Here is a 25,879-nt window from a genome sequence, read left to right on the forward strand (position 1 = left end):
GGGTATTTTGTTGGACAGGGTTGGCCTATCTCCACAAAAAAGGCCAGGTCAGTTCTACTGCACCAAGACAGGATTGCAAGGGCTGGGGTCACACTGTGCCCTCCTTTTTAAATCCCTGGAAAAATTCACAAGATCCCCAGTGGGGTTTGAGAGTATCACATGTTTTTCTAAAAAGCCCCCATTAAAATAATTACATTATCTGGGTGGAGAGAGGAGAATGGCAGCACTTCAGCTGGCAGGCTGGCAGCCTGGCAAAGAATATTCCACCAGATTAAGTAGAAGTCCTGGTCTAGGAAGGGAAGCTTCAAGAAAGAGAGTATTTTATTTTTATTTATTTATTTATTTTTGAGACGGAGTCTTACTCTCTCACCCAGGCTGGAGTGCATTGGCACGATCCCGGCTCACAGCAACCTCTGCCTCCCAGGTTCAAGCGATTGAAGAGAGTATTTTTTGATGAGGGATGGAGGAGAAGGATGGAAAGGGATGAGAGGGAAATGGAAAACTAAAGGGTGGCACTCTTTGAAAGGGGGTTTGCTAGATTACTTTGTCCGGGGTCCTCAAAGGAGCGGGCTGAGCGTTGGGACGGGGTCCTGGTAAAGAAGGAGGATGCGCCCAGGATAATCATATTATTATGAGTTACCAGTTGCTGAGCACTTATCATGAACCAGGCATTATGCTAAGTGCTGCCTATGTCTCACATAATCCTCATCATAACATCATGAAGTGGGAACAGTTATATCCGTTTATCTATGCAAAAACTGAGACTTAGTTTGAGTAACCTGCCTGGAGTCTGTCCGGAAATGCTGCCGCTGTGATTCAAACCCAATTTAAAGCTAAGCCTCTCAACCTCGATGCTCTGCTACCCACCATTCTAGGCAACCAATAAATGTGGCTGAATTGATTTGGAGATTAATTATCACCACCACCACGCTTTCCCTAATAATAATAGGGCCTTGTGAATGTGTGGGCTCCCAGTCACCAGAATGGCTCACTTAGAGCCTGAGAGATCACACCCTGGGGGAGGTTGGACAAAACCATCTCAGCAGCCCCACCAGATCTATCAGATCTTTTGATCCAGTCAACTTTCAGGGTAAACAGGGTCATTTCAGACCATCTGGAGAAGCATAATGGCAATTCTTAGAAAATCTTTGGTAGCTCTCTGAACTCTAAGAAGCACTTCTTAAGCAAACCTCTAAGCTGTCTCTACCATCTTATGGCCTTTTTCTCTGAGACCAAGTCGAAAGGAGCTGGGAGCCAGGCCGGTGCATTCCTCCCCAGGCCCTTTCTTCACCATTCACTTCTGAGCACTCTATGCTCACCGTTCCATAAAGAAGTCTCTCTCTTCCTGGTTGATCTTGCCTCAGCTCAGTCTTTCCCTCAATATTAAGCTGAAAACAGGGAAATTCAATCAAAGTGAAGGCTTCCTTTACCCCAGCAGGTCCTACAAGCATTTAATAAGTTGCGTGGAGATGTAAAAATAGATCATGAAGCGGTTGATAAGAATAACATTTCTTGCCAAGAGAGCCCTTATGCAGGAGGACTAGCAAAAAAAAAAAAAAAAAAAAAAAAAAAAAGCGAGAGAGAGAAGCTCAGGAGCATTGACAGTACAAGAAATAAGATTTGCTTTTGGAGAAAAGAGAACAGAGAAGTTTTGAGATGAGAGCATGCTGGATACCAACAGAAAAAACAGTGAGTTCTGAAAGTGGGGAGGGGGATTGCAGGCGTAGAAGTAGCAACAGAGTTCCATCAGGCCAGGAGATGAATGCCTGTAATCCCAGCACTCTGGGAGGCCAAGGGGAGGATCCCTGGAGCCCAGGAGTTTGAGACTGGCCTGAGCAACATGCAAGACCCAGTCTCTACAATAAAAAATTTTTAAAATTAGCTAGAATCACTCCTTGACTCCCCAGCTCCTTGGGAGGCTGAGGTAGGAGAATCCCTTGAAGCCCGGGAAGTCACTGCAGTGAGCTATGATCAGGCTGCTTCACTCCAGCCTGTGTGACAGAGTGAGACCCTATCTCAAAAAAAAAACAAACAAAAAACAAACAAACAAAAAAAAACAACCAAACAAACAGAAACCTCTATCTCATGGCAGCCTTGGAAATAATTACAGTGCATAGAAAAATCAATCGGCAAGCTTTTACTGAGCACTGGAACACGATGGCAATGTGAAACCAAAAGACCAGGCCCCTTTGCAAGGAGAGTGCAGAGTACTGGGGAGATAAAAATAGCACACTTGAAACAATTAGAGAGCAATTAATGCCAACTGTCTGGTTCTGACTCAAGTACAACGGGACTCCAGAGAGTGGAGGAAGCCTGGCGAGCTGGAATAATCTGCCAGGCAGGGGTAGGAAAAACTCACAGGGACCCCAAGGTCTTGGGTGTCACATGCTTTGAGGAAAAGAGTCTATTCCTATGGAATGCTCTGCTTGCGTAATACACACAACTCAAACTAACCACAGTCTTGCCCTTCCAGAAGTTTCCAATTAAAAAGCAGAACATAGCGCTTGACCTACGACAGCTTTGCTAAATAAATGGATGAAAGAACAAGTGATTGGAGTCCTAGGACTTCTTAGGGATAACTGAGGAAGCAAGGGAGTGGGAATGGCATGGTTGTAGAAATATTCCTTGGTCTACTGGCTCCTTTCTGAGGGCAGGGACTTTGTCTTTCTTCCATATTTATTAAGCCCTCACCATACAAAAAAATATTGTGCTGGCCCTGAAAATGAGAGGTCTGGAGATGCAACAGACATAGTCTATGAGCTTCCAAATGTCTCATACAAGAGCTTCCTTTGAAACCTGGAGCTTAATTCTGTACATCATGCCTTAGATGACTGAATATCCTTTCCCTAAATACACATCTACTAAGTCAATCATAAATTCTGTAAATAGTTTGCACCTACTATGTGCTAGATAATGTGATAGGTGGTCAAGATAAGCATGAAAAACAGTGTTTTCTTCTAAAAAGAGCTTATTGTTGGCTGGGTGCAGTGGCTCACACATGTAATCCCAGCACTTTGGGAGGCCGAGGCAGGAGGATCACCTAAGGTCAGGAGTTCGAGACTAGCCTGGTCAACAGGGTGAAACCCTATCTCTACTAAAAATACAAAAATTAGCTGGGCATGGTGGCTGGCACCTGTAATCCCAACTACTGGGGAGGCCGAGGCAGGTTCGAGAATCGCTTGAACCCAGGAGGTGGAGGTTGCAGTGAGCCGAGATCCCGCCATTGCACTCCAGCTGGGGCGACAAGAGCAAAACTCTCTCTCAAAAATAAATAAATAAAATCAAAAGAGCTTACTGTCAAGTGGTAGAGAAATAGTCATATATTTAGTGCAGTATATACTTGTTCTCATGGCATGTCGTGCAATGTGTGGGCAGAGCTCAAGAAAAAGATCACCTAAGCTGTCCAGAGGAGTGAAGGCCGAGCCCACAGAGGAAGAAGCATTTGAGTGGATTCTGTCAGGGGCAAGGTGTGGTAAGTGGGAATAACATGTAGGCAGGTGGACTGGAATGTGCAAAATCTGGATGCATGAGAGGACTTAGTAACATGTTCTGAGAGCTGGGAATAACTGAGTACTACCAGGGCATAACATTCTGAAGGGGGAGTAGGAGAAGATGCCATTAGACAGAGCAGCCATTATCTGTCTAACATCAGATTATCTTTCCCCAACTATCTGTCCCTAATTTTGATGGACTGTGGATGCCATGCCAATAGAACAGATTGCATCATGATGAAGACTGAGGGGCCATCAAGGAATGCTGAGTGGTGGAATGATGGGATCAGGTTTGTGGATGAAAAAGAACCTTCTATCAGCTGCATGGAGGAAGGTGGGAGTAGGGTGGAGGCAGCCTGGGGAAGGATAACTGAGGCAGGAGACAGAGGCCAAACAAGATGTCTTTGCAGTGCTTCACATAGGAGACCATGGGAGCTTTCAGGCACGGGCAGTGGGGAAAGGACAGGAAGAGCCTAGAAAGCTACTTACTTTGATTTCAAAGTCAACAGGGCTTGGTTGCCAATTGGATGTGGAGCAAGGGAGGGGAGATGAGGATGATTGTGAAGGTGGCAGTGGCAAGGGTCGCAAGCACCACCAAGCAGTACTCTTGTCTTCATTCTCCCTGGGCTGCCTCTTCCCTAACTCATTCTTTGTCTCCTGCAGGACCTCTGAAACACTACACCAGAGTAAATAAATGCCCTTGCATCCTCCAGTTCTTCCTGGAATCCCGCACCCTCTTCCTGATTTGAATGGAAACTCACTCTTACACAAGGGCATCCTGGAATCCCGCACCCTCTTCCTGATTTGAATGGAAACTCACTCTTACACAAGGGCATCCTGGAATCCCGCACCCTCTTCCTGATTTGAATGGAAACTCACTCTTACACAAGGGCATCCTGGAATCCCGCACTCTCTTCCTGATTTGAATGGAAACTCACTCTTACATGAGGGCACGGCTTCACCTGCTTTGTCTCTTCTGAGGGATGCTCATTCTCCCATCCCCAGTGCCAGCCAAAGAAGTAGCCCCGACAAACAACTTTAAAGTTTCCCAGTTCTGCTTCCAAGCCGTACACTGTTCCAGTCCTAATATAAACATTGCTCCTTTGAAACCCACATTCTCCTGCCATATTCTTTCTTATAAGTGTCATTTTCCTGGCTCATGGAAGAGTTTAGGGCCTGGCTCCAGGTCCTCCCCTTCACCCCAAGACCTACCGTCATCCTGACTTCTGTGTCTATGAGGATGACGTGTCCAACAGTCAAGCTTCAGAGTGACACTCACAGCCATTCTACTTCAGCTACTCACACCTATGGCCACACCCTGATTTTGTCCTCATCTGAAATGGTTTCATCTCCAGAACCTTTAACTCAATATGCACGCTCTGACCACAGTGTCTTATCCTTCCATGTCTCCAACCTCTTTGCTTTTACTGTGCCTATTCCCTAATTTTAATAAGATCTCTGGCCATGTTGCCTCTCCATTTGTAGTCATCTCTCAATCTACTTCTTTCTCAATTTCCTTCTCCAATCAGTCTAGAAAACAAAATATATTACTTCATCATTATATTAAAAAAATTTTTTTTAAATATTATTTGCAGAGATGAGGTCTCACTATGCTGCCCAGGCTGGTCTCGAACTCCTGGGCTCAAGCGATCCTGCCACCTCAGCTTCTCAAAGTGCTGAGATTACAGGTGTGAGCCACCACGCCGGCCATCATTATTGTTTGATTATCTTTGTTTCTCATTCACCCTCATCTTTTGCTCTTCTTCAGCAAAACCCCAATCCCTAGACCAATCCAGCCATCTCCTGCCTTCCTTTATACCTGGCTCAGGCCCAAATTCTGACGTTCCCTCTCGACTCTTGCTGTTTCCTCTTGACCCCAAACAGTCACCGTGCCCTACCAATTCTCATTCTCCTTCCCAAATACCTCTCCAGCAGGTTCCCTCCTCTCTATCCCTACTGCCCCTCTCTTAGTTCAGGGTCTCAATAGTTTTCATCTATATTAATTCCACTTAGTTGATCTGACTACTACAGTTTTGGAACTGAAATTCAAGACTGTTTTCTGAACTATACTCTCATCATATCTCGATATCATATCATATGATCTGATCATATCACTGTATCCGGAGTGATCTTAAAAATACAAATGTCAGGCTGTGTGCGGTGGCTCATGCCTGTAATCCCAGCACTTTGGGAGGCTGAGGTGGGGGGATCACCTGAGGTCAGGAGTTCGAGAACCTGGCCAACTTGGTGAAATCCATCTCTACTGAAAATACAAAAATTAGCTGGCTGTGGTGACACATGCCTGTAATCCTAGCTACTTGGGAGGCTGAGGCAGGAAAATTGCTTGAATCTGAGAGGTGGAGGCTGCAGTGAGCTGAGATGGCACCAATGCACTCCAGCCTGGGCAACAGAGTGAGACTCTGTTTCAAAAAAAAAATAAAAATGTCATCATGTCACTCTCTTATTAAAATATTTTAATGGCTCTCCAGGCTCTTCAGCATCACATATAAGATACATTGTGATTGGACCCCTGTCCACCTCTCCAGCCCCCACACTCCCTATTGTATTCTAAACTTTACCTCCTTTGTTCCTTCATTCTATCCTAAGCTTTATTAAACTTGACTGGGCACAGTGGCTCACACCTGTAATCCCAGCACTTTGGGAGGCTAGGCAGGAGGATCACTTGAGCCTAGGAGTTTGAGACTAGCTTGGGCAACATAGAGAGACCTCTGTCTCTACAAAAAATTAAAAAATTAGCCAGGCATGGTGGCACGCACCTGTGGTCCCAGCTACTCATGAAGCTGAGGCGGCAGGATTGCTTGAGCCCAGTAGTTCGCGGCTGCAGTGAGCAGTGATCATGCCACTGCACTCCAGCCTGGGTGACAGAGCAAGATCCTGCCTCAAAAAAAAAAAAAAAAAAAAGAAAGAAAAAAAATATATAAGCCACTTGTGGATTCCACAGTATGTCACGTTCTTTTCCTTTGCTGCAGATACTATTTCCTCTGCCTGAAACATTTACCTCTTCATTTTCTAGCTACTCACTCTTCAAAACACAATTGATGTCCAGCCCAGAATATGGCATCTTAATACATGCTCAGTACATAGGATCTTTACAAAAAGGTCCCTGATATTTCTTCTATCTCCTGAGTGTTGTTGCTCCTATGTGATCCTTGAGAATCTCTATTGTTATGCCTTTCCCATTCTGTAAATGTTTTCTGTTTACTTTTCCATCTTCTACACTAGACTGTGACCTTGAGAGTAGCAACGTTACCTCCTTCACCTTGGCATGCCCAGCACCCAACATAAGGCATGGTACACAGCAAGCATTCAATGTGCACTTGCAAATGAATGAAAATGGGCAGAGATCTAAGCCTCCTCTCCTGCGCCAGACCATCTTGTTCTCCCAGCCTATCCTGAGGGAGGTCCTGGACTGTTGCTCTCTTTTGAGGCCTTCTCAAGTATTAGATGCAACCCCTTCTGTATGCCCTGGAAATGCTGGTGTCTCAGCCAACAAGTCTGTTTCTAAAGCACTTGTACTAACAAAGCCATCCTGGCCTTTCAGTGCAGTGGGAATGAAGGTTGATGGGTCTTGCTCTTCCCCCGGCAGGTTTCCTCATCAGGGACCTTGGAGGAAGGTCAGGAAAGATGGGCATGTACTGTGAGCTCTTTGAAGGACCAGACCTAGTGGATTCCTTGAAATACCTCCTTTACTGCCTACTAAAACGGCCCTGCAGATTCCAAAGGCAGTCTTACTGTAACATGAGTTGGAAGAACCTCACTTTTTGCCTTCATTCTCTCCCTGCTGCATCCTCTACACTGTCGTCAGATGTAATACCCTGAAATATTCATGTGATCAGGTTACTTGCCTCCTTACCTCCATACCTTGGCTTCCTTTGCCCCAGCCAACATCCAACATGAATGCTCTTCCCAGACCTTTCCACCAGCTAACCCTACAGAGCCGCACCTGGCTCTCCTCCTCTGTAGAAGGCCCCGGGCTTTTTTTACTCCTTCCCTGATTCCAGCAGAAAGAATCACTCTTCCTCTGTTCTCTGCCAGAGTTTTGTTCTTGCTACACAAAGAGCCTTTATCATTCAAACATTATACTTAGCCGCTCACATGTCTGTCTCCCTGGGATGGATTAATTCCTCGGTGAGGACTGCCGTTGTGCAGCTGCAATATTAGTGGTTGTGGTGGGGGGGTATATTGAACCTTATAATTTATGTAATAATAAGATAGATGTTGCAGGGGTTTTATTGCTTTAGGTTATAGAGGAAAGACCATTGGCATTGGAGTCAGACAGACAGCAGACCATCCTTTGCTGTTTGACTTGCGTCTCTCGGCCTGTTTCCTTATCTGTGAAGTGGGAATGATAATAACAACCTCAGAGGGTTGCAATGGGGATTGAATGCAATAACAAATGTAAACTCTGCAGTCTGGTATTTGGCATATGGTAAGGTATACCAAAAAACGAGTTAGTTTTGGCCCCCTTTCCAGCTTGTAGCTCTTCAATGTCTATACTTGAAAAGCTATTTAATAATATTATTTCATCCAGGATCTACCCTCACCCAACCTTTTCTTCTGATTTTCAAATACTTAGTATGGTTTTGATCACTGCCCTCCTTGAGACACCCTTCAACCTCTGCACTTCCTTTTCAAAGCATTGTGATCCTTTATAGGTAGAGGCTTTTAAAATGGTAGTAGTAGGTTGGGCACGGTGGTTCACGCCTGTGATCCTAGCACTTTGGGAGGCCAAGGTGGGTGGATCATTTGATGTTAGGAGTTTAAGACCAGCCCAGCCAACATGGTGAAATGCGGCCTCTACTAACAATACAAAAATAAGCTGGGCGTGGTAGCTCATGCCTATAACCCCAGCTACTCACGCGGCTGAGGCAGGAGAATCACTTGAACCCAGAAGGCAGAGGCTGCAGTGAGCAGAGATCATCCCACTGCGCTCCAGCCTGGGTAACAGAGCGAGAGTTCATCTCAAAAAAAAAAGAAAAAAGTAGTAGTAGTAGTAATAATAATAATACATTATAATGAGTAACACTTACTGAACACTTACAAAGAGCCAGGCTCAGTGCTACACTGTTGATATGCAGTAGACTTGCTACTTCTATGACTAAGACATCATCTCCATTTCACGAATGGGGAGGTTGAAACTTAGATTGTTAAGGTAACTTGCTAGTAGCCAGATAGCTAGAAAGTGGTAGAGCCCAGTGCACAGGCAGAATCCATGACCGGTCTAAAATCCTTGCCCTCAACGGCATCATTCTGACACTCCATGGGGTCTTCCCATGGCCATTTGGCTTGCCATAGAGAGGTCAGAGGCAGTACTCAGGGTCCCTCATGGGCTGTGAGTTGGGCTGTCTTTGATGACTTCTTGGTGCGTGTGTTTGGGCATTGTGACATCACAGAACAAGGGGCAACCCTACTAGCCCCAGACACAATGCACTCTGAGAGGCATTCAGGCCTCCTTCTCCCTCCTTTTTGAAACACAATCACCTATATTCACGCACACTCTTGTGTTAGGGCTCGAATGCTAGCAGCAGATGTGTGATCAGGTGATTGGTCTCAGAAATAAAGCAATCTGAATGAGGACAGGACTTCCCAAGAGCGAGTGACAGTGTCGTTCAGGGACGAGCTGTGCCATGCTGTAGATTTCCGGCGAGGCTTCTTTTGACTGTGGCCAACAATGGAGAACATTCAGTACCCAGAACCCCTGCCAAATTTCACACTTGGGGTTTAGCCCAGTTTCACGGACGTCCTTCTCCGGGGCCCCACGGACACTCTTGTTTCTTGCTGCTGTCCCCAGCACTGCGCTGCAGCAGCCCCTTTGGCTTCTGCTGTCTCTTCTCCATGATCCCTGGCTTGTTTGGAGTTCCTGCCATTCCCCTCCCTCCTCCCCTCCCTCCTTTCAGCCCCTCAGCCCCTCCAAGGCTTTCCTGTCCCGGGAATTATGTGCCTGGGGTTTGCTCTGTGTGGAGTTTTCTTCCCCAGACCTTGTGTGAGTGCCTCCAGGTCTTAACTCCGATGTTCCTCCTCCAAGAGGCTTCCCCTGGCCACACCATCTGGGCAGCCCCTCACCCTATCCACAACTACATTACCCTATTTTATTTTCTCAGGTACTTCCAGTTTCTAAAATTATTTTCATTTCTTCACTTGCATGTTTGTTGTGCCTCTTGCCCCAGTAGAATGTTAGATCCTAAAGGTATAGCTCTTTCTTGTCTAGTGCTGTATTACTAGTTCCTAAAACAGTGGCAGGCATGTGGCGGGGGCTCTCTGTCCATACCTGCTAACTAACCAAATGGCTGATGGAATGACTGACAGGCCAGAGGTCCAGACATGTGGACAAAGAAAGACAGTGATAATGAGAGCTAGCATTTTTTGAGGTAAGGGTTTATAAGCATCATGCTGAGGGTTTTACATGCACTATCTCATTTAATCAGCCCAAAATCCTTATTATTATTCCCATTTAGCAAATGAGAAAACTGAAGATTAGAATTCTTTTTTAATATGCCCCCTAAAATATAGCTGCCTTAATATCCCGCATGGCGAAGCTGACCAAATCTCAGGACTCTACCATCAAAATCAAATGCGTTTACTTTGTTCAAAGAATCAGAAACTGCATGAAAATACCCAGTGGCAGGAGACTGAAGAAATACCAGAGTAGGACCATAAGGAGGGTTGCGGTAAATGTGAAGAAACTGAAACCCCTATGCACAGCTGGGAAATGTAAAATGACTCAGATTCCTTGGTAAGCGGTTTGGGAATTCCTGAAAAAGTTAAACATACCATATGACCCGGCGATTCCATTCCTAATTATAATAGCCAAGACGGCTGAAACACTTGTACACAAATGTGCATAGCAACATTGTTCATAACAGCCCCAAACTAGAAACAACCCAAATGTCCATCAAGTGATGAATGGATAAACAAAGTGTGGTCTATCCACACAATGGAATATTATTCAGCCATAAAAAGAAACAAAGTACTGATTCAAGCTACAACATGCACTACCTTAAAAACATTATGCTCAGTGAAAGAAGCCAGAAAACCCGGACAAATATTGTATGATTCCATTTGTATGAAGTGTCTAGAATAGGCACAAATCTATAGTGACAGAAAGTAGAATGATGATTGTCAGGGGCTGAGGGAGGAGAAATGGAGAGTGACTACTCCTGGATATGGGGTTTCTTTTTGGGGTGATGGAAACATTCTGGAATTAGATAATGGTATTGGTTGCACAGCCTCAAAAATATGCTAAAAGCCATTGAACTATATACTTTACAATGGTTAAAGTGATGAATTTTATTTATGTGAATCATATCTGAAAGAAAGAAAGAAAAAAGGAAGGAAAAAAGAAAGGAAGGAAGGAAGGGAGGAAGGGGGGAAGGGAGGGAGAGGGGAAGGGAGGGAGGGAGGAAGCAGGGAGGAAGGCGGGGAGAGGGAGGGGAGGGAGGGAGGGGGAGTCAGATCATCAGCTTGTTGATAGAGCGCTCTGGGGAACACAGGTGTTGCAAGTGGTCAGGTAAGTAGTGAACTGAGAGGCTGCCGGGAGCAGAGGCCCAGCTCTGAGGGAGAGCTGTCTTAAGCGGCCATGCTCGTTTAAAATGGGGAAAGGAACTGGAAATTGCAAGGCAGGGCCCAACCCATATACCAGAACTGGGCATTAGATAGGCTTCCTAAACTAGAGCTAGGAGGAGGTGTCAAAGCAGAGGCTTAGTCATATCAACAGAGTGAATTGTGGGGGGAATCTGGGTAAGGAAGGTGAGGCCTGGAGCTGCATTTACAGGACAGAGGAGCCACACCAGGGACAAGTGGGTGCAGGCACAAGGGAGCTCAGGGCCCGCAGGGACTCACTGAGGCCAGTATTACACTAAGGCTGAGCATTCTAGGACTTGGCCTCCATGGACTGGTATAGCTGAGCCTGCTCCAGCACATTCTTACTCAGAGTTGGTCAAGATTTTTGGAGCTGAGCATATAGGAAATGAAACTAATGCCTCAGCTGGGGCTAGGGGTTGAGGATATGGGGAGGGTAGCAGGCTGAGACCTCCAATTTTTCCCACTGTAAAGCTTTGTAATCTATTACAATGCAAATGCCACTGAAAAGTTAAGTAACAGGCCCCAAATCACACAGGTAGAGAATGAAACAGCAGCCGGACACGATGGTCTATGCTTGTAATCCCGGTTCTTTGGAGGCCAAGGTGGGCGAATCACTTGAGCCCAGGAGTTCAAGACCAGCCTGGGTAACATGATGAAACCCTATCTCAAAAAACAAAAAACAAAAAATTAGCTAGACATGGTGGTGCACATCTGTACTTCCAGCTACTCGGGAGACGGGAGGATCACTTGAGCCTGGGAGGCGGAGGTTGCAGTGAGCTGAGATTGTGCCACTGCACTCCAGCCTGGGTGACAGAGCAAGACTTTGTCTCAAAAAATAAATAAATAAAAGAAAAGGGGGAAAAAAAAAGAAGAAGAAGAAGGACCAGCCTGACCAATATGGCAAAACCCCTTCTCTACTAAAAATACAAAAATTAGCTGGACGTGGTGGTGGGTGCCTGTAGTCCTAGCTATTCGGGAGGCTGAGGCAGGACAATAGCATGAACCCACGAGGTGAAGCTTGCAGTGAGCTGAGATCGTGCCATTTGCACTCCAGCCTGGGTGACAGAGTGAGACTCCGTCAAAGAAGAAGAACAGAAGAAGAAGAGGAAGAAGAAGAAGAAGAAGAAGAAGAAGAAGAAGAAGAAGAAGAAGAAGAAGAAGAAGAAGAGGAGGAGGAGGAGGAAGAAGAGGAAGAAGAGGAAGAAGAAGAAGAAGAAGAAGAAGAAGAAGAAGAAGAAGAAGTAGAAGAAGAAGAAGAAGAAGAGGAAGAGGAAGAGGAAGAAGAGAAGAAGAAGAAGAAGAGGAAGGGGAAGAGGAAGAGGAAGAGGGAAAATGGAAAAGCCTTTTTCAATTCTATGGGTGAGAGACAGTCTCATATGATGGGTAAGAGCACAGGCTGTGAAACAAGACCACCTGAGTTCAAATCCTACCTTTGTGTTACCTTGAACAAGTTACTTAGCTCCTCTGTGCCCCAGCTCTGTCCTCTAAAATGTCAATGGCATTGACTTTGCCTGTCTCATAGGTGGTGGTGAGGATTAAATAATGCTGTACATCTGAAGCCTTTAGAATAATGCTCAGGACCCTGTAAGAGCTAATAATTACTAGTAGTAGGCTCTACCACAGTCAGAGAGACCAAGCATTCCCACACAAGTGTAGCCGATGACACAGTTTTGTGTAGTACCATCTCTTGTCTCTGTTTTTCCACATCATATCCTGGAAAGACTTGTCCTTGTTTATGTGTCTCTCCAGGGGTCAAATTAAATTGATAAAATCTCAGAGAGTGCCAGACATCTGGCTGCTCAGTAAGAACAGAAATAATCATCAGTGAGTCCTAAACGTGAGCCAGCCCTTCCCTAGCTAATCCTCCCCTGTTGATGGCTAGAATAATTTCTCCCATAAACTGATTATGCTGGTAAATCAAGACCTTCTTGGGCAATGAAGAAAAAACCTTAGATATATTCAGTTCTCAGGAGTAATATCATTGGTGAGACAAGCACAATTGTTATGTAGTTGAATGTATTGGAATTATCTGCTATCCAGAGACAGTACTTGATATTCACAGAGCCTCTTGTAAAAGGCTTCAGAGGACTTTCTGCCCATTAACTAGTTAGCCTTCACCATGTTTCTTGGAAAAAGGTCCTTGTGACTGTCCCTCTTGGCTGCCCATAAAGTCTTCTTATCTATCCTTTAGAACCCATCTCAGTTACCAACAAGCCTCTTCCTTCCTTTCCAAATTGAAATTAACTACTTCTCCTCTATACTCTGTACTCTGCATCACACTTTTTTCTCTATTCCAGCAAATTTCCTTGTGTAGTTGTAGCTCCATGTCTTTCTGACATCATAGGGACAATTATTTGATGTCATGAAGTGTCTATTCATCTCTATGTCATTTTCTGCCTGCCTCTCACACACACCCAACATGTGCTCATCATGTTGGTTGCGGGTTTATTCGTATTCTGAATAAGATCCCCCTTGAAATTTTGATATATCCCTCTATAGTAGGCATCATCTGAAAGAGATGACTACTTTTTTTTTTTTTTTTTTTTTTTGAGACAGAGTCTCGCTCTTTTGCCCAGGCTGGAGTGCAGTGGTGGGATCTTGGCTCACTGCAACCTCTGCCTCCTGAGTTCAAGTGATTCTCATGTCTCAGCCTCCCAAGTAGCTGGGCATGCACCACCATATCCAGCTAATTTTTGTATTTTTAGTAGAGAGGAGGTTTCGCCATGTTGGCCAGCATGGTCTCGATCTCCTGACCTCATGATCTGCCCACCTCAGCCTCCCAAAGTGCTGGGATTACATGCGTGAGCCACCACGCCTGGCAGTTGAGAAGCATTCTTCTAACACATACCTTGCATTTAGTAGGCATTCTACAACTGTATGTGAAAATAAATAAAAGAAACCCCACATTAGAGAACTTTGGCGATTTCACCAAGCCCATAAAACCAAGATAAAACTTGGAAACCTGCCTGCTGAATTTCAGCTATTATGTAAAATGAATATTGGTGCTGTGTGAATATGTTGCTATGTGGTTTTCTAAAATGTGAGGCTGGGGCCTTATTGTTTTCCTTCTTTCTTTTCCTTTGTTTTTTCCCTTACTTCCTTCCACACATGCTTACTGAGCAACTATTATGTGCCAGGCATCTTGCTGGGCATTGGCGATTCAATGATGGGCAAAAGCAAACAAGGCATCTTATGGAGCTTACAGTCTGTCCAGTGCAGGGAATTGTCATAAATCCAATAGTCAGTCCACACGTAAGGAATGTGTGCTGGCCAGCTGAGGGCAGGGTCCTAAAGGAAAGGAACACTGATCCACGAGCGCTTATTGCAGAGAGGACTGATCTAGCCTAGGAAGGGTGTGGGGAGAGGTCAAGAAGGATTTTACTGAAGAAATGACAGTTGTTAAAATAAAAACTTTGGACAAATTAAATTTAACAGGGTTTAATCGAGCAAAGGACAAATCGTGAATCGGGCAGGTCTCAGAACCAGAAGAGGTTTAGAGAGCTCTTCACTCTGCAGCAGGGGCAGGCAACCTTTACGGACAGGACAGTTCCATTGGTTACACCTTGGTGTTTGCCTCATTTGAATGTGATCAGATCAGTTGACCACCTGTGATTGACTGAAGCTCATTTGCTGTGATTGGCTGAAACTCAATTATTTGTTAGAAAATTATACTCCTAATTTAGGATTTTAGTTAGTTTATATACTAAGTTGGGTTGCAGTTGATGATGTAAGGAGGCATCCTGGGGCCAAATTTAGTTTAATTGAACAGTGTTAGCCAGGTGCGGTGGCTCACGCCTGTATTCCCAACACTTGGGGAGGCCAAGGCAGGTGGATCACCCGAAGTCAGGAGTTTAAGACCAGCCTGGCCAACATGGTGAAACCCAGTCTCTACTAAAAATACAAAACAATTAGCTGAATGTGGTGACGCACACCTGTAATCCCAGCTACTCAAGAGGCTGAGGCATGAGAATCCCTTGAACCCGGATGGTGGAGGTTGCAGTGAGCCAAAATCATGCCACTGCACTCCAGCCTGGGTGACAGAGTGAGACCCTGTCTTGATAAACAAACAAACAAATAAAAACAAAACAGTAATGAGAACTGAAGGAGAAGTGAGAATTAAACAGGTAGAGAGGGTGGAGATTGCGGGGGGGCCAGCACACACCAAGGTTTGTGATGGGAACACCAGTGCATTCCAGAAACCAAGGACCTACAACATCTGGCCGGAGCCCAGAGAAGATGCAGGAGGTGTTTCTCTCTGAGGCTTGAATGTTTATGCAGGAGCCAGACCATCCAAGGGCCAAGTAGGCCAACATAAAAGGTTTTGTCTTTATCCTTCTACAGTGGGAAATCACTCAAGGTTTTGAGCCAAGGTGTAATGTAAGCATACAAATAGTCTGGAAAAATAGTCTGGCTTGTCTGTGGGGAATGGACTAGAATGTGGGGAGCATGCAAGAGAGAAAGGAGGAGACCAGTTAGCAGGCTGCTGAGTGGAGTCAGGTGCCAGATGATGGTGACTTTAATCAGGGCGGTGGCAATGAAGATGAAGAAGGTTGAAGCCATCCCATATGTAAAAAATCAACAGGACTTGGTGAGGGCATGGACTAAAGCTTAGGGCTCAGAAGAAATGTGACTGTGAAGGTGATTGATCCAGCAGGCACTCCCCAACGTATCCTGAATACTAAGTAACTACAGCAGCTGGGAGGCTGAACAAATCATTCTGCAAAATGAGCTGCCTCCTATCAAAGGGGGAAAGACAAGAGAGGATCCAAAACTGCCTCAAAGCTTCATCCGGGGGCTGCTGTTTTTAGGGAGTATTGAAGTGTGCTGATGATTTCCCAAGATGAGTCAGAACTCCCTACATCATCATCTCATTCCCCTGAGAACTTGGAGACCGTCTTAGCTGACAGCCTACCTCTTCCTCCACTTCTTCCCTCTCCTTCCACAAATCTGGATCAGACCCAAGGATGTGGAGTACTGTTTGATTTTTAAGAATGATATCCTGTCCTCTGCTATTTGTTTTTGTTTTTGTTTTTCTTTGAGACATTCTCGCTGTCACCCAGACTGGAGTGCAGTGGCACAATCTCTGCTCACTGCAACCTCCGCCTCCCAGGTTCAAGCGATTCTCTTGCCCCAGCCTCCTGAGTAGCTGAGATTACAGGCGCCGCCACCACTCCTGGCTAATTTTTGTATTTTTGGTAGAGACAGGATTTTGTCATGTTGGCCAGGCTGGTCTTGAATTCCTCACCTCAGGTGATCTGTCTGCCTCGGTCTACTAAAGTGCTGGGATCACAGGCGTGAGCCACTGTGCCCAGATTCTCCTCTGCTATTTGATTTCTGCTCTGCTTAATCGTTTGTTCAATCCAGGCCAATGAATCAATCAACAAACATTTCTTAAGCACTTTTCACTTATTCAACAAATATTTATTGAATGTCTACTATGTTCCAGGCACAGCTCCAGGGGTGGGCAATATACCAGTGAACAAAATAAAGTGAACTGTAAGTTGTGGCACATGCTTCCTTAGGAGCGTGATATCTACACATATAGATTAGAGTGAATAATACAAGACAAGTGACCAAGATGTTTTTGTTCTCATGGGATGTAAAAATGCTCAGTTAGCTTCTAAAGACTAAAAACATTGGAAAAAATAGGAGATAATTATAGACTGCAATAACATGGGAGGGCTCCAAAGGGAGGAGGTGTTTAAGTCAGGTTCTTAGAAGATAAAAGGAATTGCCGGGCGTGGTGGCTCATGCCTGTAATCCCAGCACTTTGGGAGGCCGAGGCAGGCAGATCATGAGGTCAGAATATCAAGACCATCCTGGCTAACACGGTGAAACTCCTTCTCTAATAAAAAATACAAAAAATTAGCCGGGTGTGGTGGCAGGTGCCTGTAGTCCCAGCTACTCGGGAGGCTGAGGTGGGAGAATGGCGTGAACCCGGGAGGTGGAGCTTGCAGTGAGCCGAGATCGCGCCATTGCACTCCAGCCTGGGCGACAGAGCGAGACTCCGTCTCAAAAAAAAAAATAAATAAATAAATAAATAAAAAGAAGATAAAAGGAATTAAGGTGGGCAAGGGGAAGAGCATTTCAGAAAGGAGAACAGCATAATGGCATGCACAGAATTGGTGATCCATGGGCATATGTTTGAGATATATTGGTAAAACCAGACTGACTCAGTGATGAGTGTACATTAGAGTGGAATATAAAATGAGGTTGAATGAATCCAGTAGGAAAAGATGAGAAAAAGTCCTAAAATCAAGCAAGGGTACTTAGATGTGATTCAGTAACAGAGAGGAAGACATTGAATGCACAGGAGATGTTGTGGAGAGCACAGATATTAGCTATAGTTTTAAGTCATTCAAGCTTGAGAGTCTGTGTTTCTCAACTCACATTCAAATCCTCAAATCAGAAATAGGAAGAACCATATCAGGACTGTACTGGGCTCTCCCCACAAGGTGGATGCTCTGAGTGTAGGGATATCAGGTTCATAATGAAAATAGAGCCCTTGTTCTCGCTAATGAAGTGTGTTTGGGATTTTGTTTTATTGTTTTTTTGATAGGGACCAATTTTTTTTTATAGCCAATGAGAGAAAAGTAAGGAAGAAAGGAAACTTATAATGTGGTTCTAAGTGGTTTTACCACATATTTGATTAGGTCCCTAGGGGAAAGATAAACGTTTAATTGAATAATTTAAGAAGGTGAACACGCAGAAAGGAGACTCCTTAACTACTGATTAGAAAGCATATCTGAGCTGGAAAGTATCCTCTTTGACTTAAGTGGTGTGATAAGTGCCATTATTATGGGAAAATTCACACTATTTCAGAGTCTACAACTGTAATACGACTGTGGCTTGCCTAACACTTCTCATTTTCAAAGACATTAAATTCTTGAGTGCCTATTACCAAATGTGTAATATCTCCACACTGCCATTCCCATACCAGCCAAAACACAATGCAGCAGAAGGACTCACTGTGTAGAAAAGTTGTCAAGAAGCCACTCTGGGTGAACAACGCCTACCAATATCTCCCACTTTTTCACCATCCACTTGTTTCTTAACTCTCTGCAGCTGGACTAAAATTCCCTTCTCAAAGGTTACCAATTACTTTCTAATCGCTAAATCCAGCAACTTTTCCATTTGTCTGATCTCAGTAGCATTCTATAGCACCATCTTCTTAAAACCGCATGTTTATTTGGCTCTGGGGTTGTTTCATGCTTCTGAAGTTCCCACTACTTCTCTTCTCTACACGTTGTAAAGACGAAACTACTACATCCCACCATTATCCCCTGTTCTTTATTCAGCTCTTTATTCAGCTCAGATCTCATTCACTGTGTACGTCAGCCAACACACCTGTGTAGATGATTCCTGAGTTAACGAGTGTCTTCTTTGTTTCTGGCCCCTTTGCATCCTAATGCATACCTCATATATAGTTGGTGCCAAAAGACGTAATGAATTCCCATGTCCACATACGCAACATGAATTTCTCTTTATTTCAGACCTCCAACTCTCATTGCTCATTTGAACCTGGATCTTTCCAACCCCCAAATTTCTATACTCAAATGAATCACATTTAATACATTTAACTGTCTTGTAGTTACTTTCCAGCAAGGAGAAAAATCATGTGTCTCCTTTTCTGACTTGCTTATTTCTTTTATCCATACTCGGAGCCTTAATTCATGTTTGACTAACTTGACACTACCCCAGTCCCACCCCTGGCACCTATAGCCAATGTCCTAGGTCTATAGATTTTCCTCTAACTCCTTTTCCTTCTTTTCTATTCTTCCCTTGCTGTTTATCACTGCCCTAATTCAAGACTTTATCAGGCTGGAATGATAATTACTAGTTTTCTAAGAGGTATTCTACTTAGAAGCATAATTAAATGAAGAAGAGTTTCTCCTGAGCTTCACTCTATCCTGCTTGCCATTGCCAGATTAATATTCCTAAAACACTTTTTTTGGTCATTTATCAGTCCAAATTCCCTAAGATTTTTAATGGTTCACATTGCCAGCAGAACCCAGTGCAAACACCTTGGCTAGTATTCTGAGCAACCAGTGTCTAGCTTTCAGTTTACTTCCCATTACACATTTCTGGACCTCCCCTCAAGCCAGGGCTATCTTGTCATCACCCCCCTTCAATACTTTGGACATATCATTGTTCTTCCTGTCCCCTGTCTTTGAAATACTTTCTTTTATCCTAGTATCCCTGTAGTTCCAGTGTCCCTACCCTAGAATACCTTTCTAGTTATCTAGTATCCTAGAATCTAGTATCTAGTATTCTAGTCTTTCCACTCCTGGGAAGGCTTTTCAACTAACAACAATGTCTCTTTCAGACGATCTCTTGAAATATTAACATACTTTGCCTTGCTTTGTCTTTTTAAAAAATTTCGTGTGAATACTGTTTTCTTGAGTTATAAACTCTTTCTAGGCAGGGATTAAGACTTTTAAATCTTTGAGTCACCCCAAAAAGATTAGCATGTTACCCTGCAAATACACTAGATGAAAACAGTTATCCATTTTCTCGAGTATTACTAGTCGGCAGGTTCTAATTCCAAAAGCCAGGAGATTATGTCCTGACTTGCCAGGTTATTGATGTGAGATTGGAAGACCCACTGGACTGGAAAAAGTGGTGAGATCACAGCATGATACTCTGAAAAATTTCCAGAGTGTCACGCTTCAGTGATCTTTCTTTGTTGGGTCTTAAAGTCAAAGGTATAATATCCCTTAGGACAAGTTATTGAGTTTCTGTCCTACCATGCCACTGAAATTGATGTCACTGAGGTCACTGTTGACTTCCTAATTGCTAAACCCAATGGATTGGTTCTAGTTTTTGTCTTATTGGACTTTTTTTTTTTTTTAATCACTACTGTCCACTACTTCCTTCTCAGAACTTTTCTTTTGGTTTTGCTCTTCTTACTTGCTTCCTACTTTTCTGATCTCTCTTCTGTTTCCTTTGCCATTGTTATTTCCCAAAATATGATTCTGCTGCTCTTCTCCATTTATCACACTCTCTCCGTGGTCACAAATATCTCCTTGATTTGACTAGCTTCTGCATGTGTATGATTACATTTCTCTACTCCAGACCCCTCTGGTGGACTCCAATTTCCTGAAAGACATCTTGACTCAGATGTTTCACAGGAGTCTCAAAATTGGCAGCACTAGCATGGAACTCCATATGTCACCTACCCCTGCACTGGAGCAAATCTGCTCCTTTTGATCCTGCTTGGTTGGCTTTTTTAAATCAGCAGCAGGTCAACATTTTTGCACTCACAAAATAATTTGGAAAAACTATATACCTCTTTCACATTTTTTTTTTTTTGAGATGGAGTCTCACTCTGTCGCCCAGGCTGGAGTGCAGTGGTGCAATCTCGGCTCACTGCAAGCTCTGACTCCTGGATTCATGCCATTCGCCTGCCTCAGCCTCCCGAGTAGCTGGGACTATAGGCGCCCGCCACCATGCCTGGCTAATTTTTTGTATTTTTAGTAGAGACGGGGTTTCCCCGTGTTAGCCAGGACGGTCTCTAGCTCCTGACCTTGCGATCCACCTGCCTCGGCCTCCCAAAGTGCTGGGATTACAGGCATGAGCCACTGCACCAGGCCCTCTTTCACATTTTTAAGTTTTCTGTTATCTATTTCAAAAGGTGTAGTTAACATATTTTAAATATTAACAATTCAAAAATAAAACTATTATAGAATTTTTAAACAGTATCCAGATAAATTTTTATTATTAATTTCATACTCAAAATCATTCATTTAAAAATACCTTAAGCTCTTTTATATTATTGTATAAATTTTAAGGTGTATAACATGCTATTTTGATATACACTTCGATATTGAAGTGATTACTATAGTCAAAGAAATCATCTTATGTAGTTATCTTTCTTTCTTTTTTGGTTTATGGTAAGAGTACCTAAAACATGTTCTCCTGGCAAATTTCTAGTATGCGATACAATATTACTAACTATAACCCTCCTGCTGTACCTTAGATCTCTAGCAAGCTCTTTGTTAAGGGTTAAAAAGTTTATATATTTTTGGCTGGGCCCCGGTGCCTCATGCCTGTAATCCCAGCACTTTGGGAGGCTGAGGCGGGCAGATCACCTGAGGTCAGAAGTTCGAGACCAGCCTGACCAACGTGGAGAAACCCTGTCTCTACTAAAAATACAAAATTAGCCGGGCATGGTGGTGCATGCCTGTAATCCCAGCTACTCGGGAGGCTGAGGCAAGAGAATCACTTGAACTCAGGAGGTGGAGGTTGTGGTGGGCCGAGATCGTACCATTTCACTCCAGCCTGGTCAAGAAAAGCAAAACTCTGTCTCAAAAAAAAAAAAAAAAAAGTTTATACATTTTTTTCCTTGAACTTATTATTTCCACTTAACTTTCACCAATTTAGTGGTTGGAAGGATTTTATTGATCACCCTGTATACTTCTTTGCAACAAAAATATAAATTAAGGTAGAAAAATATTTATTTTGGTGGCATAAATACATGCATCCAAAATAAGCTATTATGAGAATTACTATCAGTACACAAGCAATTAAAACATAAATAATTGACTGTTTATGATTTTGAACATAAGAAGTAAATTTTACTGGAAATGTATCACTTAATAAGATAGATGGGACTTTAATTTTTTCCCAATCAGTTTATGTATCTGTAGTTGATATAACATATTATTAGAATAAAACAGGATTCAGCACTAATTTTATTCCATTTTATTTTTCTAATTTATAAGTCAAAAATAACTTTGTGACCTGGTTTTTTTTTTTTTTTGAGATGGGATCTCACTCTGTTGCTCAGGCTGGAGCCCAATGGCTCAGTCTTTACTTCCTGGGCTCAAGCGATCCTCCCACCTTAGCCTCCCAAGTAGCTGGGGCTACAGGTGTGTGCCACCATACCTGGCTAATTTTTCAATTTTTTTAGAGAAATGGGGTCTCACTATGTTGCCCGGGATGGTCTTGAGCTCCTGGGCTCAAGCAATTCTCCCACCTAGGTCTCCCAAAGTGTTGGGATTATAGTTGTGAGCCATTGCACCCAACTTGATCTATCATTTTAAAAGTAGATTTACTGATTTATCAGATGACAACTCCATTAGAGCTTCTTTGAATTTAAAGAATTGGGAACCATCTTATATGCAAAAGTATTTGTTACCTAGTCATTATACTAATGTACTTTCTCAACGTTGATCATAATATTTTAAATATCCCCCCTGTTTTTGGCACATCAAAAAATTTTATCCCGAGGCAACATGCTATAGGAATATTTAGGCTGGGTGAGAAGCATGCTTTGCTTTTGTGAAGTGGGAGAAGGATGATTTGGAAGGGAAAGCTGGAGAGGAGCTACTCGGGCAGATAAGGTTTAGGAAAGATAAACATGGAAATTCATTCCCTTAAATTATCCATGCCTACAGCTTGGTGACAACCGTGTATGCTGTTTGTTGCCCGTTTGCCATCAACTCCTCACTTCCTCTTTCCTAATAAAGCTTTAATTTAGTTCAGGTATTAAACGTTACATTACCACACAAGGCAACAAAAGACTTCCCCAGCCCAGATCCAGAGGAGACTCCTGACCCATCCAAGCCAATCAACACAGGGTTCCATGGCTACAGTTATTTACTCATGTTGCCCAAGTGAGCTAAGCAGACTGAAGTCAAGACAAATGGTACTCCTGTTTGTGGGGAGAGCCTCCTCTCTCTGATGGAATGTGACTAAAAAACATGTGGCTTTCTAACTGTCACTGTTAGCCATCCTGGGTTTGTCTACATTAGGATAACAGAAGACTGTAAAACAGAGAGGTGGAAAGAGACCAAGACTGTGAATAAACCACCGGTCAACCAGTCCTGGGGCCTGCTCTACCGCTGCTCTTTCTGTTATGTGAGATAATAAGTGTTTTTATTTAATGAAACAATGATCTGTGCCCACATGCATGCATGAATGAGCAAATAAACATGGAGTTTCAGAAGTTCTTACGTTCTCTGACTTGGGTTTTTGTAAATTTCTTTTTTTCTTTTTTTAAATTTTACCCTAATCCTGTGAGACACTGGAATTGTAATAATTTTGTAACTGATCCTCCTGTTTTTAATCTCTTCTTTGTTCCATTTATTCTACACACTGCTCCCCAGACTGATTTTTCTAAAGCATCTGCTTAAAAATCCTCCAGTGAGTTTCACAATCTGTAGAATAAAATTTAACCTCCTTGGCTTTAGTATTCCAAGTTCTGCAAACTCTGACCCTTACCTACATTTCCAGTCTTCTTCTGACATTCCCCGTTTCATGAGTAGCAGTGTGGCACATTAAGTAAAAACATACACTTTCAAGTTACAAGGACTTCAGCTGAAAACCACACTTCTCTGTATACCAGCTATGTGTTCTTAAGCAAGTTACTTGACTTCTTTGAGCCTTAGTTTTCTTACTTATAATCTTTAGGTAATGCTACCTACCTCGAAGGGTCATTATACAGATTATAAGTATGGGTTAAAAATGTGGAGCTTAGAAGTCATTTAAAAGATAGCGGTAGTTGTCATTGTTATATCTTAGGTATCAGCCACTTCTAGGCCACTTGGATTTGTGTAAACATGCAAATCCATCACAACTGCCTGGAAGGCACTGATTTCTACTTTTTTTTTTTCTCTTATCTCTCCTGTCTGGAGAACTACTTTTAATTCAAAACTATCCAAATGTCACCTTGACGCTCTAGCCTTCCTAGGGAATTCTCCCTGTGTTCTTCCACAGCACTTTGTATCCACAGAAGCATTTTAGATTGTAATTATTTATATACCTGCTACTAGTGTGGGAATTCTTGATTATCTGAATTTTATCTCATTCATTTTTGAAGCTCCCTCACATGGAATGGTGCCCAATACACAACAGATACCTGATAAAGACGAGTGAACATTGAATGAATGAGAGCCAAGGGCATAGATTATGGAATGTGGACTCTAGGAAGTTTCTTGGAGAAGCATTGTGTCTAACAACAACAACACCTGACATTTATATGCTTTGTTTCCATCTGTGAGGCACTCTACATATTTTATCTCATATAATTCTTAAAACATCCCTGCAAGGTGGTTTTGTCCTTATCCCTACTGTACAGATGATTACACTGAGGTTTGAAAAGATAAGGGATCCACACTCAAGAAGTGTCACAGTCGGAACCCGAAGCCAAGATTTCTCAAAAGAACTCTGTGACGATCTGGGCACTGAGCCAATGTTCCAGAGACAATGGAATTCAAAGTGGATTTTATCTGTGGATTATCAAGAAAATATCTCCAATCTTCCGTATTACCACCATATTGAGTGGTTCAGTTGAAAGAACTCAAATTAAAGTTGAGATATCTGGGTTATAGACTTTTATCTGCTAACAGAAATTTTGGATAATTGGGGGCCAGTTATTTAACTTTCCTGGGCCTTGAACAGCTTTTCAAAGTGATCTTCAAGGCACTTTCCAGCTTTAAAAATCTTTAACCAGAGGGCAGCTATGGTATGACTGGCTTAGGGGAACTAAATCTATTGTAATGATTTCTGTTAGCAATAGCCTTCAGTAACTTTAGGCTGAGACTAATAAAAGGCAAAAAGTATGATTTTAAGGAAGGGAGGAAATGGCTGGAAAGGAGGGAGGAAACACATTCCAGCCCTACAGACAATGCTGTTCATTGTCATTGGCCTAAATCTGCCTGCGGAGTTTTTCTGAGAAATAAAAACATCCCTGTTCTTTTAATGATGAGATTAAACGTTGATGACTCTTCTTTTTCCATTAATTCCTTTAGAAACAGAATAAATTGATTTGCTAAGATTGATCAAAGAGGCTGTATCCTTTCCCTCCCACAGACCTCTTAACTTCCAGGTTCAAAGAGGAAATAAGTGAAAAATAGGTTTTGAAATTTGCTTTTCAGAGTGGCCTATATTGCGTTTTAATTTAATTTGCTAGAATTTCACCTTTTGCCTTTGGTGGACTGATTAAATGAAATAAAATTATATCTGGGGTATCTACGTTACAACAATTGCTTAATCCTTCCATCAGAAGATGAACTGTCAAGGCCATAGACTGTCCTCGGGTAACTTCTCAGATTGCCTCCTCTAGTGACAGCTTCTGAGTTTGTGTGTCTCTGATATATAAATAGACCCAGAGCTTTCTTAATAGCAGAGCTGGACTGCCTGCTGGGCTCATTCTGAACTGTGCATATTGAGCAAAGTGGGAACTGGTCTGTTCATTCTCATAATTTTCAGCTGGTCATTGGCATCATAAAATTGTCCAAACCATGAAACCTAGTGCAGAGCCTGGCACACAACAGGTCTCAACAAATGTTTGTTGACTAAGCTGACCTAGTACAGGCTCCTCCCTAATGCAGGAATCCCTTCTGCAGGACCTTTGAATGGCTATTCGGTTTCTGATCAAATATTGACAAGGAACGTCATGAGATAGCGTGCTTGTTCTTCCATGGGTCTAATAGTTTCCTCCCTGTCCCCATTAATCTCAGGTTTGGAATCAGAGAACAGTAGCAATTGACAGAATTGCTCCTGTTGGCAAACTGTAAGCTCTAATGGACACTGGTTGTTTATAATCTGTCAGTCTCCCTTCTCCCTTCTGTCTATAACAATAGCTAGCCCCCTTGGGAAAACTGACTCCTCCTCCCAAGTCCTGTTTCTGTCTATTGCAGGGCCCAGGAAGAGAGTTAAAATGGAGACCCCATACCATATACGTAAATATTTTAAAGTTATGTTTGGCAAACAAATTGTTATGTGAAATATGCTCTAGGCTTTTACTTTCAGAATCTCAAAATTGAAAAATATGTGTAAAT

At 43.1% G+C, this 25,879-nt stretch overlaps 1 long non-coding RNA gene across 1 annotated transcript; it reads right to left on the minus strand.

The window, feature by feature from the left end:
• Positions 1-7,724: 7,724 nt before the first annotated feature.
• LINC02727 (long intergenic non-protein coding RNA 2727) lies at positions 7,725-8,882 on the minus strand. The gene is made up of 2 exons (NR_183637.1): positions 8,554-8,882; positions 7,725-7,844 (listed from the first exon to the last, which is right to left on the minus strand). It is a non-coding gene; the product is annotated as a long intergenic non-protein coding RNA 2727 (long non-coding RNA).
• Positions 8,883-25,879: the final 16,997 nt, after the last annotated feature.

This window comes from Homo sapiens, chromosome 11 (assembly GCF_000001405.40).
Source record: "Homo sapiens chromosome 11, GRCh38.p14 Primary Assembly".
Taxonomy (NCBI): Eukaryota; Metazoa; Chordata; class Mammalia; order Primates; family Hominidae; genus Homo; species Homo sapiens.